The sequence below is a fragment of the Homo sapiens genome, chromosome 9 (assembly GCF_000001405.40).
Source record: "Homo sapiens chromosome 9, GRCh38.p14 Primary Assembly".
In the NCBI taxonomy this organism is placed as follows: Eukaryota; Metazoa; Chordata; class Mammalia; order Primates; family Hominidae; genus Homo; species Homo sapiens.
In genome coordinates this window covers 17,430,781-17,446,250 of record NC_000009.12, presented here as the reverse complement: position 1 = coordinate 17,446,250, position 15,470 = coordinate 17,430,781, and the positions used below count along the sequence as shown (strand labels likewise).

General features: G+C 35.5%; 1 protein-coding gene across 18 annotated transcripts in view; it reads right to left on the bottom strand.

Moving 5' to 3' along the window:
- Positions 1–15,470, bottom strand: part of CNTLN (centlein) — a 393,595-nt gene that overhangs the window by 82,384 nt on the left and 295,741 nt on the right. The window contains exon 19 of one of the 18 annotated variants that reach the window (XM_011517941.3): positions 2,005–2,054. The exons of the other annotated variants lie outside the window; for them this stretch is intronic. Within the exon in view, the coding sequence (XP_011516243.1) occupies positions 2,005–2,054 (50 nt within the window). The remainder of the gene's footprint in view (positions 1–2,004; positions 2,055–15,470) is intronic. 18 annotated transcript variants of the gene reach the window in all.

Here is a 15,470-nt window from a genome sequence, read left to right as displayed (position 1 = left end):
CAGAGACAAAGTACAGAGAAAGAAGTAAGGGGACCCGGGGAACCAGCGTTCAGCATATGGAGGATCCCGCCAGCCTCTGAGTTCCCTTAGTATTTATTCATCATTCGTGGGTGTTTCTCGAAGAGGGGGATGTGTCAGGGTCACAAGACAATTGTGGGGAGAGGGTCAGCAGACAAACACGTGAACAAAGGTCTTTGCATCATAGACAATGTAAAGGATTAAGTGCTGTGCTTTTAGATATGCATACACATAAACAGCTCAATGCTTTACAAAGCAGTATTGCTGCCCGCAGGTCCCACCTCCAGCCCTAAGGCGGTTTTTCCCTATCTCAGTAGATGGAGCATACAATCGGGTTTTATACCGGGACATTCCATTGCCCAGGGACAGGCAGGAGACAGATGCCTTCCTCTTGTCTCAACTGCAAGAGGCGTTCCTTCCTCTTTTACTAATCCTCCTCAGCACAGACCCTTTACGGGTGTCGGGCTGGGGGATGGTCAGGTCTTTCCCTTCCCACGAGGCCATATTTCAGACTATCACATGGGGAGAAACCTTGGACAATACCTGGCTTTCCTAGGCAGAGGTCCCTGAGGCCTTCCGCAGTTTTTGTGTCCCTGGGTACTTGAGATTAGGGAGTGGTGATGACTCTCAAGGAGCATGCTGCCTTCAAGCATCTGTTTAACAAAGCACATCTTGCACCGCACTTAATCCATTTAACTCTGAGTTGACACAGCACATGTTTCAGAGAGCACGGGGTTGGGGGTAAGGTTATAGATTAACAGAATCTCAAGGCAGAAGAATTTTTCTTAGTACAGAACAAAATGGAGTCTCCTATGTCTACTTCTTTCTACACAGACACTGTAACAATCTGATCTCTCTTGCTTTTCCCCACAGGGTCAATAGTTAACTGTATGTCTCTCGTTGGTTGTACCGTATCTAAGTCTTGCAAATAAAGTGCTTGGATGAAAGCCAGTCAGGGAATTTCAAAACCCTACAACTCATTACAAATTTAACAGCAGCAGTACTAAGTATTCATATCATGTTGATCATTTATAAATATACCCTATAAAAATTCTCAAGAGAAGCAATAATGTTTTTTTCTATTCCCTGTATAAATTTCATAAGGTTCAAGATAGTGAAAAATGGACATTTTTAGAAAGGACTTTTAAAAATCTTTGGATTTGATAAAATAAAAAGTTACTGATACCATTTAAAATGGGATTTTAAAAAACTAAGGACCAACATATGTAAAAATTACCAAAAAAAGTCTTTCATAGCATAGAGTAGAAATTTCCTTTATATAGAAAAAAGAGATTTGCAAAGTTTTGACCTATACTATATTATTCAAGGTATTTCTCATAGATTTCACTGAAAAGCTATTTTTTCCAACACACAAAATTCCACATAGGAACTTCTACCATCAGCCTTCCCTTCATTTTCTATTCAGAATTGTTTTCTGTTTATCATATTCTTTCAAGTAAAAAGGCTTGACCTAACAAAGTAGGTCACTCAATAAATAAAGTCAAATAAATACCTGACTCTCAGGCAGTTATGCTACATCAAGGACAATGATTCATGTAGATCTTTAGTAAGAGGGTAAGTCTAGGTGTTCTTCCATTTTTATTAATCAAGCCAGTTGATCTGCTTTTCTTCTAAATCAGTAGTTCTCAAATAGTACATACTACCCAGATGTGTGTGTATTTTGGAAATTTGTTGGGGCACTTTTGAGTGCCACAATGATTGGCAACTGAAGTGGGTGACAGCAAAGAATACATAAGTACTGCAATGTATAAATCAGTCCTGCCCAATAGAAACTACTCTGTACCCTCATGACTCTGAAATTCCTGTCAATTACTCATGTAGGTGACAATTAACATATAATGAAATAACCTAAATCCTAACTCAAAATGACATACAGACAAAGTATTTGTATTCCTGTGGCTCCCCAAATTTAAGCAGAGAAGTTCTTTCCTTCTCTGAGGTAGAGCTATAAGAATGTAGGCTTACCACATGGCCAATACGCATGGCCAGAGCTGCATGGAGAAAGCTGGTCTGGTCTGGAATGAAGAGATGTGAGAAAGAAGCGTTAAAAACATTAGAGTGTCTGTCTGCAATTTTCTGTACCTTTACCAAGTCTATGATCTACAGTTCATCCTTTGATTTTGTGTTTTTTTTCTTATGTTAGTTTGAAGTCTGTTTCTATCACTTGCTATCAAGACAGTCTTGTTAATACAGTCTTCTTAGTAAAGTCCAACAGTCTCTTCTCAGTTTTCTATTATCAGTTCCTCTATGGGATCTGACACTGTTGACCAAAGCTTCTCTTTTTCTTGTTAAAAACTTTCTCTCCCTTGTTTCTTTATTAAAGTACTCAATTTTTCCTCCACATTCTCTGTACAGTTCTTTTGGATCTCCTTCTCTGACTCCTCTTTGCCCATATAGCAGATAACTCCCCCAAACTTAAGATCTTGCTGCAAAGATTTGTTCCACCTCCAGCATTCTTTCTCTGGGCTAATGACATCAGTAGATTTCCTTCTTCATTTTTAATGAAATATTTCAATATACCATAGGTATATAAAGAAAAATACAATGAATGCCCATGTGTTAACCAGTCAACTAAGACAATATATTACCAATACAGTTGAAGCTATGAACGTCTCTCCTGATCCACCAGAAATAATCACTATCCTGAATAACTTTGTTGTTTATTTTTCCCTTACCTTTCTTTATACTTTTAGAATATATACACATATAGACTCCTCAACCATATAGCAATTTAAAGACACTATTTCACATTTTAACAATCCCTGAAATTGTAATACAACTTCCCTTCCTAGATACCACACAATACCTGCTATTATTTAAACAATATTTTTCTTTTAAATTGCATATTCTGTTGATTGCTGGTGAATATGAGTCCTATTATCTTTGTATATTACTGATCCAGCAATCTTGCTGAAATCTCTTACTAATTATAGTAATTTGTCTTCAGATTCTGTGGAGACAAGCATAATGCATGGGAACTAATGATGGTTTTGTTTCTTCATTTCTAATATATTTAACTTTCACTTCTGTCTCTTATATTAATGTGCTGGTTAGGTACTCAAGTACAACATCAAAGACAAACAATGATAGCAGGCATAGAAGTATTCTTCCTGATTTCAAAAAGAATGCATCTAACTTCTTTAAGTATGATGGCTAGTTCAGGTTTTTGGTAGACACCTTTTAACAGAACTGTTTCAGGTTTTTGGTAGACACCTTTTAACAGAATAAGAAAGTTCCCTGCTAGTCCTAGTTTGCTAAGATAATTTTTATCATGAACAGATATTTAATTTTATCAGAAAATTTTTACCTTTTTTATTGTGGTAAAAAAACATGAGATCTACTTTCTTAACAAATTTTCAAGTGTACAGTACATAAACTTCCCTCTTACAACTGCTTATGCTTGCAGCCCATAAATTCAGGTATGTTATGTTTTCATTTTCATTTGTCTCAAGGTATTTTCTAATTTTCTTTGTGACATCTTTAACCCATTGGTTGTTTAAGAGTGTTTGGTTTAGCTGGGCATGGTGGCTTACACCTGTAATCCCAGCACTTTAAGAGGCCAAGGCGAGTGAATCACTTGAGGTCAGGAGTTTGAGACCAGCCTGGTCAACATGGCGAAACCTTGTCTCTCCAAAAATACAAAAAATTAGCCAGGCATGGTGGCTCGCGCCTGTAATCCCAGCTACTCAGGAGGCTGAGGCAGGAGAATCACTTGAACCCAGAAGGTGCAGGGTGCAGTGAGCTGAGATCATGCCACTGCACTCCAGCCTGGGTGACAGAGCGAGACTCCATCTCAAAAACAGAGAAAGTTTTGTTTAATTTCTACACATTTGTGGATTTTACAGTTCTCCTTCTGCTATTGCTCTTTAGCTTCATACCATTATGATCAGAAAAGATACCTTGTATTATTTCAACCTTCTTAAATTTAAGGTATGTTTTTGGCCTAACATGTAGTCTATCCTGGAAAATATTTCATGTGCACTTGAGAAGAATATATATTCTGCTGTTGTTGGGTAGAGTATTCTCTACATATCTGTTAGGTTCAATTGGTCCACAGTCTTGTTCAAGTCCTCTGATTCCGGATTAATCTTGTTCTATCCATTGTTGAAAGTGGAGTACTTACGTCTCCTATTATTGTGTTGCTGCCTATTTCTCCCTTCAGCTGTCAAAGTTTCCTTCCTATACATACAGGAGTTCTGAGGTTTGCCACATAAATATTTATAACTGTTTTATCTTCTTGGTGAATAGGCCCTTCTTTCAGGTGAATGTCTTTGTCTCTTATAATGGTTTTTGATTTAATATGTGATATTGGTATAGCCACCCCTTCTCTCCTTTGCTTACCCTTTGTATGGAATATAGTTTTCCATCCCTTCACTATAAGCCTGTGTCGTTAAAACTAAAGTGAGTCTCATAGAGACAGGATATAGCTGAATTCTGTTTTTTTAATCCATTCGGCAACTCTCCATCTCTTGACTGGGGAATGTAATCCATTTATATTTAATTACTGATGGTGAAAAAATTTCCTATTGCTACCTTGTTTTCTGTCTTATAGCTCTTTTGTCTGTCTTTTCCTCTGTTGCTATCTTTCATTGTATTTCATTGATTTTTTTTTTTTTTTGCAGTGACACGTTTTGACTCCTTTTTCACTTTCTTCATGTATCTTCTATAGGTATTTTCTTCGTGATCACCATGGAGCTTACATAAAATATATTGTTTATAACAATCTTTTAAGCTCATAACAACATAACTTCAATCACATACAAAATATTCATACGTTTACTTCTCACATGTAATTTGGTGAAACAAATTACATCTTTTTATATTATGTATTCATTATCATATTTTTAGTTATGTTTTTTAATACCTATTATTGTAATTTCTATGCCAGAATAAAAAGTGATTACACACCACTGTTTACCTTTACCAGTGACCTTTATACTTTCACATGCTTTTAAGTATTGCTGTTTAGCATCTTTTTGTTTCAACTTGAAGAACTCAGTTTAGTATTTCTTCTAAGAAAGGTCTAGTGGTGATGAAGTCCCTCTACTTTTGTTTGTCTGGGAAAGTCTCTTTCACTTTCATTTTTGAAGACAGTTTTGCCAGACATAATATTCTTGGTTGGCACGTTTTTATCTTTTAAAGGTGGTGTACACTTCTTTAAGTTTATTTCTTAAGGATGTTTTGTATATTTACAGAGTTGTGCAATTATCACCACACACTAATTGTAGAGTACTTCTAAAGAACCTCATGCCCATTTACAGAAACTCCTTTCCCATCCCTGGCTCTAGTCAACCACTGAATCCAATTTCTGTCTATGGATTTTGCCTTTTCTGGACATTTTATATAAGTAGAATCATACTGTATATGGTCTTTTATTATTAGCTTCTTCCACTCAGCAATATGCTTTCAAGGTTCATCCATATTGTAACATATGTTAGTATTTTATTCCTTTTTATTAATGAATGATAATCCACTGCATGGATACACCACAGTTTTTTCTCCATTCATAAGTTGATGGACCCATAGGTTGTTTCCCCTTTGGGCTACTATGAATAATGCTTCTATCAATTAATGTACAAGTTTTTTATGTGAACTTATGTTTTCAGTTCTTTTTTTTTTTTTTGAGACGGAGTCTCGCTCCGTCGCCCAGGCTGGAGTTCAGTGGTGTGATCTCGGCTCACTTCAAGCTCCGTCTCCCAGGTTCACGCCATTCTCCTGCCTCAGCCTCTCGAATAGCTGGGATTACAGGCGCCTGCCACTACGCCCGGCTCATTTTTTTTTTTTTTTTTTGTATTTTATTTTAGTAGAGAAGGGGTTTCACCCTGTTAGCCAGGATGGTCTCGATCTCCTGACCTCATGATCCACCCGCCTCGGCCTCCCAAAGTGCTGGGATTACAGGCTTGAGCCACCATGCCCGGCCGTGTTTTCAGTTCTCTTAAATGTATACCTGGGAGTGGAAATGGTAGGTTATTTGGTAACTCTATGTTTCACTTTGCGAGGATCTGTCAAACCATTTCCCAAAATGCCTGTGCCATTTTACATTCCCATAGCATTGTATGAAGGTTACAATTTCTCTATATCCTTATCAACACTTGTTAATGTTTGTCAACTTATTAGTCTCAGCGATCCAGCTTCTGGATTTGTTGATCATGTCTGCTGCATTTTTACTTTCTACAGTATCAACTTTGCCCTTATTTTAATATTTCTATTTTATTTGGGTGTCTTAGTTTGGGCTGCTATAATAAATTATCATAGACTGCATGGCTTAAATAACAAACATTTACTTATTATGATCTGGATGGTGGGAAGTCCAAGATTAAGTTGTGGATAGATCTGGTGTCTGGTGAGGCCATTCTTCCAAGTTGCCATATGGCAGAGAGCAGAGAGATCTCCTGTTTCTTCCTCTTTTTATAAGGGCATTAATCCCATCATGGGGGCCCCGCCCTCATGAACTAATGTAACCCTAACTAATTCTCAAAGGCTCCACTTTTGAAATGATCACATTGGGGGTTATGAATTATGGGGGAACACATATATTTAGTCTACAACACTGGGTTTATTCAATTTCTCATTCTTAAATAAAATGTTTAGCTCTGTGATTCTTAGACTTCTTCTAATCTTACTACAAGTATTTAAGGATATAAATTTCCATCTGAGTACCACCTTAGTCACATTCTAAAAGTTTCCATCTGTGTTATTTCATTGTGATTCAATCTAAAGTATTTTTCATTTTCATTTTGTTTTCTTCTTTGACCCATTAGTTTTTAGAAATGCCTCTATAAATTCGCATCAGATATTTTTAAGTTAACTTTTTAAAGTATTTTCTACTTCACTTGTGTTAGATAATACTATTTATATGATACAAATCCTTTGAAATTTATGGAATGTTGTTTTGTGGCCTAGTTATGTGAACATTTTTGATAAATACTTAGAGAAAGACTTTTTATTGCTCTGTTAAAATAATGTATATCTTTAATGACTTTTTATCAGCATTACTTAAAAGTACTGATATTATCAATACATGAATTATTTATTTTGAGCCTAAGTTATTAGATGTTTATATTTTAGAGGCTCTCTGCTCCCTTTTCCAGCAAATCTCCTCAAAATAACTCTAAAATGTATGCATATTTAATTATATCCTCCAATTCCTCTCTTTCTGTTCCCATTCCTCAATTCCTCCCATGAACTGATTCTAATAAGCAGCAGTTGGCATAGAGAATGATAAAGTATATCATTCCCTTCTTGATATACTTTAACCATTTGGCTTCTAAGATTCTCTTTTCTCTTGCTTTTCCCTTTCACTGGCTCTCCTTTCTGGTCCTTTCTCATCTGTCCAACTTCTGAATATTGGAGGGCCTAGAGCTCAGATCTTGGACCTTATCTCTTTTGTACCTATCTCCACGCCCTTGGTGATTTCATTCAGCTTCATTTTTAAATGCCATCTACATACTCATGGCTGCAAAATTTATATGTCTAGCCCAGGCTTATCCCCTAAATTTTAAACTCATATATCCTACTACTTACTTGATATTTCCAGTTCACTAACAAATTACCATTTGGCTACAAACGATAAGCTGTTGTTGATTTTAGATCCTAAGGATTTAGTTTCTTTTTAATTCTTTTTGCAAGTTCTAGTATGCATTTATGAGGCCCTTTTTAATATTTTATTCAACTTTCTTGGTATTTTCTCACCACAATATTTAGTGTATTACATTGTCACAAATACAATTCTTCTATCATCAACTTTCTACTCACTTTGTTAAAAACCTGAAAAATATCTTAAATACCTCTTTTTTCTTTACCTTCCTATATGCAATTGGTCATCAAACTTTTGGGATTATAACACTGCAAAGTCTCTTGTTTTTTAAAAAACTTTCTATTTCTACTAATATTGTCTAGATCTCTTCCTAATCATCTTTTGCCTTGATATTTAAACAATAATTTATCTAGTTGCTTGCATTCAATCTCTAGTCTCTCGAGCCTTAGTCTCAGTCCTTATTCTACATCAGAATCACCTGAGAGCTTTAAAAAACTACCAAGGTACAGGGCCTAACTCTTAGATATTCAAATTTAATTGGTCTACGGTCAGGCCTTGGCACAAGTATTTTTCAAAGTTCCCTAGGTGAGAATAATAAGTGGTCAGGGTTGAGAACCACAGCCAAACCAGATTATTCACTATTCTCAACAAACTGCTATGTCAGCTAGATGTCTTTTCAAGCTATCCTTTCTTCTAATGACTTTGTTCAATGCACACAACTTCCAAAATCATACAAAACCTTAAGGTTAAGCCCAAATACCACTCCTTCAAAAGCCTTAATCAAGAATGACAGGAACGAATAACTCTCTCTCTCCACATGCATTTAAACATCCATGTTATATATACACACACACACATATACATATATATCTCTATATCTCACAGTTTCCTTTTATTATTATACATATGTTCAACTGTGTTATTATCGGGGACAAGGTTCATATTTAATTCATTGTTGAATATTCCATTATTATAGCGCTTTACATGTGTTAGGTACATTAAACTAAATTGAATTGTAACAAACATACTTATCCATGTGCATACAAATATTCTAGTCATTTAAAACCAAACTCTAAAATATATGCACAGTTAAATAGTATATCAATTCAATAGTGATAAATATGCTACAATTTTTCACTTCCTGAAACATTGATATTGATGAGACACACCTATCTGAAAGTATGTTGATGTAAAAAATCAGGACACTACCAGAAATATAAAATTGTGCAATATATTATAACACTGCTTTATTTTAAACAGAAAAGAAATTTCTAACTGATGCTATTCAGGTCACATATTCTCATATTAATATTTTCTTTGGTAAGATAAGAAATGAATCTGAAAACAGAGTATAAGAAGTGCAATTTTATAGTATACAGTGTTCCAAGTGGTAATAATAGTTTCCTACAAAGTCTAATATAGGACACAGATATTCTGTTAACAAATACCACTTGCTTCATCTAGAATAGAAGACAGGACATAGGAATAAGACAGTCACGTCCAATTCCACATGGATTCTCAGCTCTGATCCTGGGTTTTGCACAGTTTGCCTTGCGAACATGATCCGAGTGACATTTCACAAATTCCTGGATAAATGTTGCTACACTCTGCTAGGAGAGAGACAGGCTATGTCACGCACAGATCAATAACCGCACTGTGTTTCATCAGCCTCAAAATCAAAAGTGCTTCATCTGGCAAAAGCCACGGCCCTAGAGAATCTGACGTATATAAAATGAATACCCTACAAGGAATGTGTACTACACAAACTATTGGGGTAAGGTAAAAGAAAACTCTGGAGATTAGCAATAAGGTACAAAAAGAGTAGTTTTCTACTTCATTATTACTAGCGGTGTGAACACAGATCACAAAAACGGAAATGAGGCTATTTAAAATTCTGCAATTCCTGACAGGAAAAAAACAATGGCTCTGGTACAGTTTAATACCTTTTATCTTTCAAATAAGAATTCTGTAAATAAATATAAACCAAGGACAAATATAAGTTTGGATACAGTAACAATCACATAACTCCAAATACAGAAATTTTTAAAATGAAGATCCACGAAATAAGGCCCTTTTAGTGTTAAAGGGTTGCTAAAGGTCTCTTCAGATTTAGTAGTTTTCATGCTCAATGTTTATATGCTAGATTAACTAGAAAACCCAAGGCATTTGTTGAATGGGCTGTGCTCTGCTGTTTTTAATTCCAAATTCTGACACTTAGCAAAAGTCTTTTATTTGAGGCTTGATTAAACTAATTTAAGATTATTTGGTTAATGTAATTGGACAACATATGAAGCAAATTTGAAAGCTCAAATTCTAAAAAGGAAACTGCTTTAAGATTGCCATTGCCGAAAAAGTTTCTGCAGCAAAACGTGCTTCTGCAGAATTTAGCTGGATCTGACTCAGACGGTAGGGGAATCAATAATTCATCAAGAAATCAGAGAAGATAATGATGTTTAATCATAAACTAAACAATAGTATATAATGTTTTCTATGAATATTGAGAAAATATGTAATATTTATCAAATTATGGTGTGGGCACTATAGAACATACAAAATTAGGTAAAGCATATTCTTGCTTTTAAATTGTTTATAATGTAAAAAGGTAAATAAATATCACAAAAGGAGGCTAGACCACCACTTGGATAAGAATAAGGAAATACATTTATTTGTTTCTCTTATATCCCCTAGCCTAGAGGCACAGCCACATTCTAATATAAAGATCTGGAAATACCAGCTGGGTGGACGAGGGCTAGGGAATTTGTTACCTTGACAGGTCAGATGGGAAGTGTGCCCGTAAAAAAGGAGCTACCCTGGCCGGGCACGATGGCTTACACGTGTAATCCTAGCACTTGGGGAGGCCAAGACGGGTGGATCACCTGAGGTCGGGTGTTTCAGACCAGCCTGGCCAACGTGGTGAAACCCTGTCTCTACTAAAAATACAAAAATTAGCCGGACGTGTTGGCATGCACCTGTAATCCCAGTTACTCAGGAGGCTGAAGCAGGAGAATCTCTTGAATCCGGGGTGGACAGAGGCTGCAGTGAGCCGAGATCGCGCCACTGCACTCCATCCTAGGCAATAAGAGCAAAACTCTGTCTCAAAGAAAAAAAAAAAAAAGAGCCACTCTTTGAGTACTCTCACTACCTTTCATAGTCTAAGGTCAAATTCCACTTCATATTTCAAAATGCTCCTCCTACCATCTTTTAATCATAGTCTTAACAGCCATTGTGACAGTGTGTTATCTTAAATAAAAGTTTAAAAGGTACCGTTTTTGGAGGGGTAGTTATACCACTGTAATGCAAATGCAGTATAAAAATAAATTCATAAAAATAACTAAGTCCAGAAAGCATTATTGGAACAGTAAGGGCTTTGTAGAAACTATAAAGCAGATGAGACCAGAATGAGTGCCTCTCTTTCCAAAAATATCTCTTAGAAACAAACAACAACCAAAAAACAAAACCACTGAATATTCCTAGTAGAACTCTAGGCACTAAGCTCCAGAACCGAGGTAAAGCAGGGCAGAAATAAGCCAAGAGTAATTGATTATTTAAAGACAGTTTTTCTAGTCTCGTACAGTCAGGAAGAAAAAATATTATCTTGCAATACAGAATACATTCTTAATAACTTGTTTTTGGAGAAGTCAAAATTTAAGTAATGGACTACTTTTAAAAGCCAACTTTTAATAATGAAAGACAAAAAAATCTTGAAAGTAGCCAGACAGAAATAATGCATTACTTATAGGGATATGCTAATTTGAATGACAGTAGATTTCTTAACTGAAACTATGGAGGCCAAAAGAAAAGTGGCACAATTGTTTTCCAAAACAACAACTTTTTTTTTTTCTTAAAGAACTGTTGTCTGCAAATTCTATATCCTTCAGGAATGAAGAGAGACTTCACAGACAACCTATATACTTAAAAAAAAGTACATAACTTAATTAAACATACTTAATTGCTACCAAATACTATAAAACACTCTATTCAACAGCAGCTGAAATCGTAATTTTGTTCAAGTTCCCATGAAATATTCAACAAGATAGACCATATGTAGACCATAAAACCAACGTCAACAAATTTGGAAATATACACAGACTAGCCTCTGGTCATAATGGAATAAAACTAAAATTTGATAACAAAAAAGAAAAAGGAAAACCTGCAAACACTCATAAATTAAACAATATATTTTTAAATAATACACAAGTCAAAGAGGAAGGTTCAGAGAAAATTTAAAAAGCAAGAACGTAATGAAATGTAAAATATAGTATATTAAAAGAATATGGGATGCAGCTAAAGCAGTGATGGAAGGGAAATTTATAGCACTAAACAGTTATATCAGAAAAGAGAATTCTAAGATCTTATAGCAAGCAGTTAGAAAAAGACCAAAATAAACCCAAAGCAAGCAGAAAAAAAGGAACTAATAAAGATAAGAGCAGAAATAAATAAAACTGACAATAGAAAAACAAAGAAAATCAATGAAACAAAAAGCTGGCTCTTGAAAAATCAACTAAATTGTTGTTTCTAGCAAGAACAAGAAAAATAAAAAGAAGACACAAATCCTCTTATCAGAAATGAAACAAGGACTATCACTACAGATCTTGCAGTTATATAATCTAATAAGAGAACAATATCATTAAGTAGAGTTTACCCCCAGAATATAAGAATAGATCAGCATAAGGAAACCTATTAATGTAATTCACTATATCAACAGAGTAAATTGGGGAAAACTCTTATTATCATCTCCATAAATTTCAAAAAGTTATTTAACTAAACAATTTTTCCTAATTAAAAACTCTTACAGGCTGGGCATGGTAGTTCATGCCTATAATCCCGGAACTTTGGGAGGCCAAGGTGAGAGGACTGCTTGAGGCCAGGTATTCAAGACAACCCTGAGCAACAAAGTGAGATCCCATCTCTACAAAAAATTTTTTAAAATAGTTGGGCATGGTGACACACACCCAGCAGTTTGAGGTTACAGTGAGCCATGATCACGTCACTGCACTCTAGCCTGGGCAACAGAGAAAGACCCTGTCTCAACAACAACAAAAAAGAAACAAAAAAAAACCACTACAAACTCTTAGAAAGCTAAAAATAGGGCTGGGCGCGGTGGCTCACGCCTGTAATCCTAGCACTTTGGGAGGCCGAGGTGGGTGGATCACCTGAGGTCAGGAGTTCAAGACCAGCCTGGCCAACATGGTGAAACCCCCTCTCTACTAAAAAATACAAAAATTAGCCAGGCATGGTGGCAGGCGCCTGTAATCCCAGCTACTCAGGAGGCCGAGGCAGGAGAATCGCTTGAACCCAGGAGGCAGAGGCTGCAGTGAGCCAAGATTGCGCCATTGCACTCCAGCTTGGGCGACAGAACGAGACTCCATTTCAAAAAAAAAAAAGAAAGCTAAAAATAGAAGAAAACTTTCTTAACTTGATATGTTATCTATCAAAATGTACAGTAAGCATCATACTTAAAGCTTAACTTTAAAGACAGTTATAAGTCAAGCTATTTGTCACTTTTTTTACTCTTCAATTTTATTATATCTCAGATCACTTTTACTCTAATCAAATAGCTTCCTCTAGTGAGGAATTTAGTGGAGAATAATGTTAGATTTGGAGGTTAGACATTTTTTTTCTGTTCCTAATCTTTGTTTTTTTTTTTTTTTTTTGAGACAGAGTCTTGCTCTGTCACCCAGGCTGCAGTGCAGTGGCATGATCTCAGCTCACTGCAACCTCTGCCTCCTGGGCTCAAGCTATTCTCCTGCCTCAGCCTCCTGAGTAGCTAGGATTACAGGCACATGCCACCATGCCCGGCTAATTGTTTGTATTTTTAGTAGGGACGGGGTTTTGCTATGTTGGTCAGGCTGGTCTCGAACTCATGACCTCAGGTGATCTGCCCACCTCTGCCTTCCAAAGTGCTGAGATTACAGGCATGAGCCACCACACTTGGCCTGATCCTCATTTTAAGAAATATTTTAACAGAGAATAGAATTTATACTGATGCATTTTATTTCAGCACACACTGAAGATCTGTTCTACTGTCTTATGGTTTCTAGTATTGCTTTTGAGAAGTCAGTTGCCATTCTAACTTCTCTTGAAAAAAAAATTTTCACCATTTAATCTCCCATCCTTCAGGAGTCCTAATTAATGACAGACCTTCTTTTTCCCTTCATAACTCATATATCTTCTGTGTTTTTCATTCCTTTGTCTCTATGCCATTTTCTGAATAAATTATTCTATCTATCATCTAGTCATTTCCCTCATCCAGTTAACTAATTCTGAAGCTCTTCTCCTGTATGTAATTACAGTCAGTGAACTTTTAATTTTACTCACTGTATGATTTCACTTCTAAACACTCTCTATGGTTCTTTTCAAATACATCAGGCCACTTGTAATTTCTTGTGCTTTACAAATATTTTTTAGCATGTTGGCTGACAGTTTAAGCTGTCATTCATTCATTCCATTGAAGGATTTTGTTTTTTGTTTTTTGTTTTTTTAGTGCCTTGATAAATTTTACTTTTTGTCTCTAGTGGTCTGCTATTTCCCCTGATTTCTCCAGGTTTGGATTTACTTCATTTCATTCATGTTTCAAAGTACTGGGTCTCTCACATTGATACAAGATCACCATAAGGATGAAAATAACTTTACCTTAAAACTAATGATTTAATATGGAAAACAAAAAGGCAGCAATTCTACTATTTACACACAATGTAGAGGAATACTTTTGCAGAAGAGTTATCAGTATCCCTAAGCATGCAGAGAAGTGCTTTAATAAGATGCTTCCTAGTTTATGAAATATATTTGTTTGATCCTTTATCTTTTTAAAGATAAGGAATTAATCACTTAGAAAATGTGTTGCTTCCTTCTGGTGTTATACCTAGTAAGTGATGTAGCTGGGACAGATCTTAATCTTCTACACATTAAACAATGTTCCTAGGACTGTTAATTAATGGCTCACTGAAGTCTCAGGAATGGCTAAATAAATCAAAATGGATTACAGTCTTTAATACGAAACCCACAACTGTGAAACTACTAGGAAGAAACACTGGGAAAAAACACTTCAGGGCACTGGTTTGGGCCAATATTTTTTGAGTAAGATCTCAAAAGCACAGGTAACAAAAGCAAAAATAGACAAATGGGATTATGTCAAGCTAAAATGCTTCTGCACAGCAATGGAAACAATCAACAAAGAGACAACGTAAATAATGAGAAAAAATATTTGCAAAGTATCCATCTGAAAAGGGATTAATAACAATAATATACAAAGAACTCAAACAATAGCAAAAACAAATAACACAATTAAAAATGGGCAAAAGATTTGAACAGACATTTCTCTAAAAAAAGACATAAATGGCCAAAAGGTATAAGAAAAAATGTTCAATGTCATTAATCATAACTGATTTGCAAATCAAAACCACATTGAGGTATCATCTCACCCCAGTCAAAATGGCTGTTATCAAAAAGACAAAAATTAACAGATGCTAGTGAGGACGTAGAGAAAAGGGAATTTTCATACACTATTGATGGACATGCAAATTAGTACACCACTATGGAAAACAGTATGGAGTTTCTTCAAAAAAACCAGAAATAGAACTACCATATGATCCAAGAATCCCATTACTGGGGTATACAGCTAAAGGAAATGAAATCAGTATGTCAAAAATACCTCCATTCCCATGTTTACTGCAGCATTATTCACAACAGCCAAGACACGGAATCAATCTAGTTATCCAACAACAGATGAATGGATAAAGAAAATGTGATATATATACACAATAGAATACTATTTAGCCATGACAAAGGAATAAAATCCTGTCATTTCCAATAAGATGGGAGTAACTGAGGGACATTATGATAAATAAAATAAGCCAGGCACACAAATACAAATATCACATATTCTCACTCACAT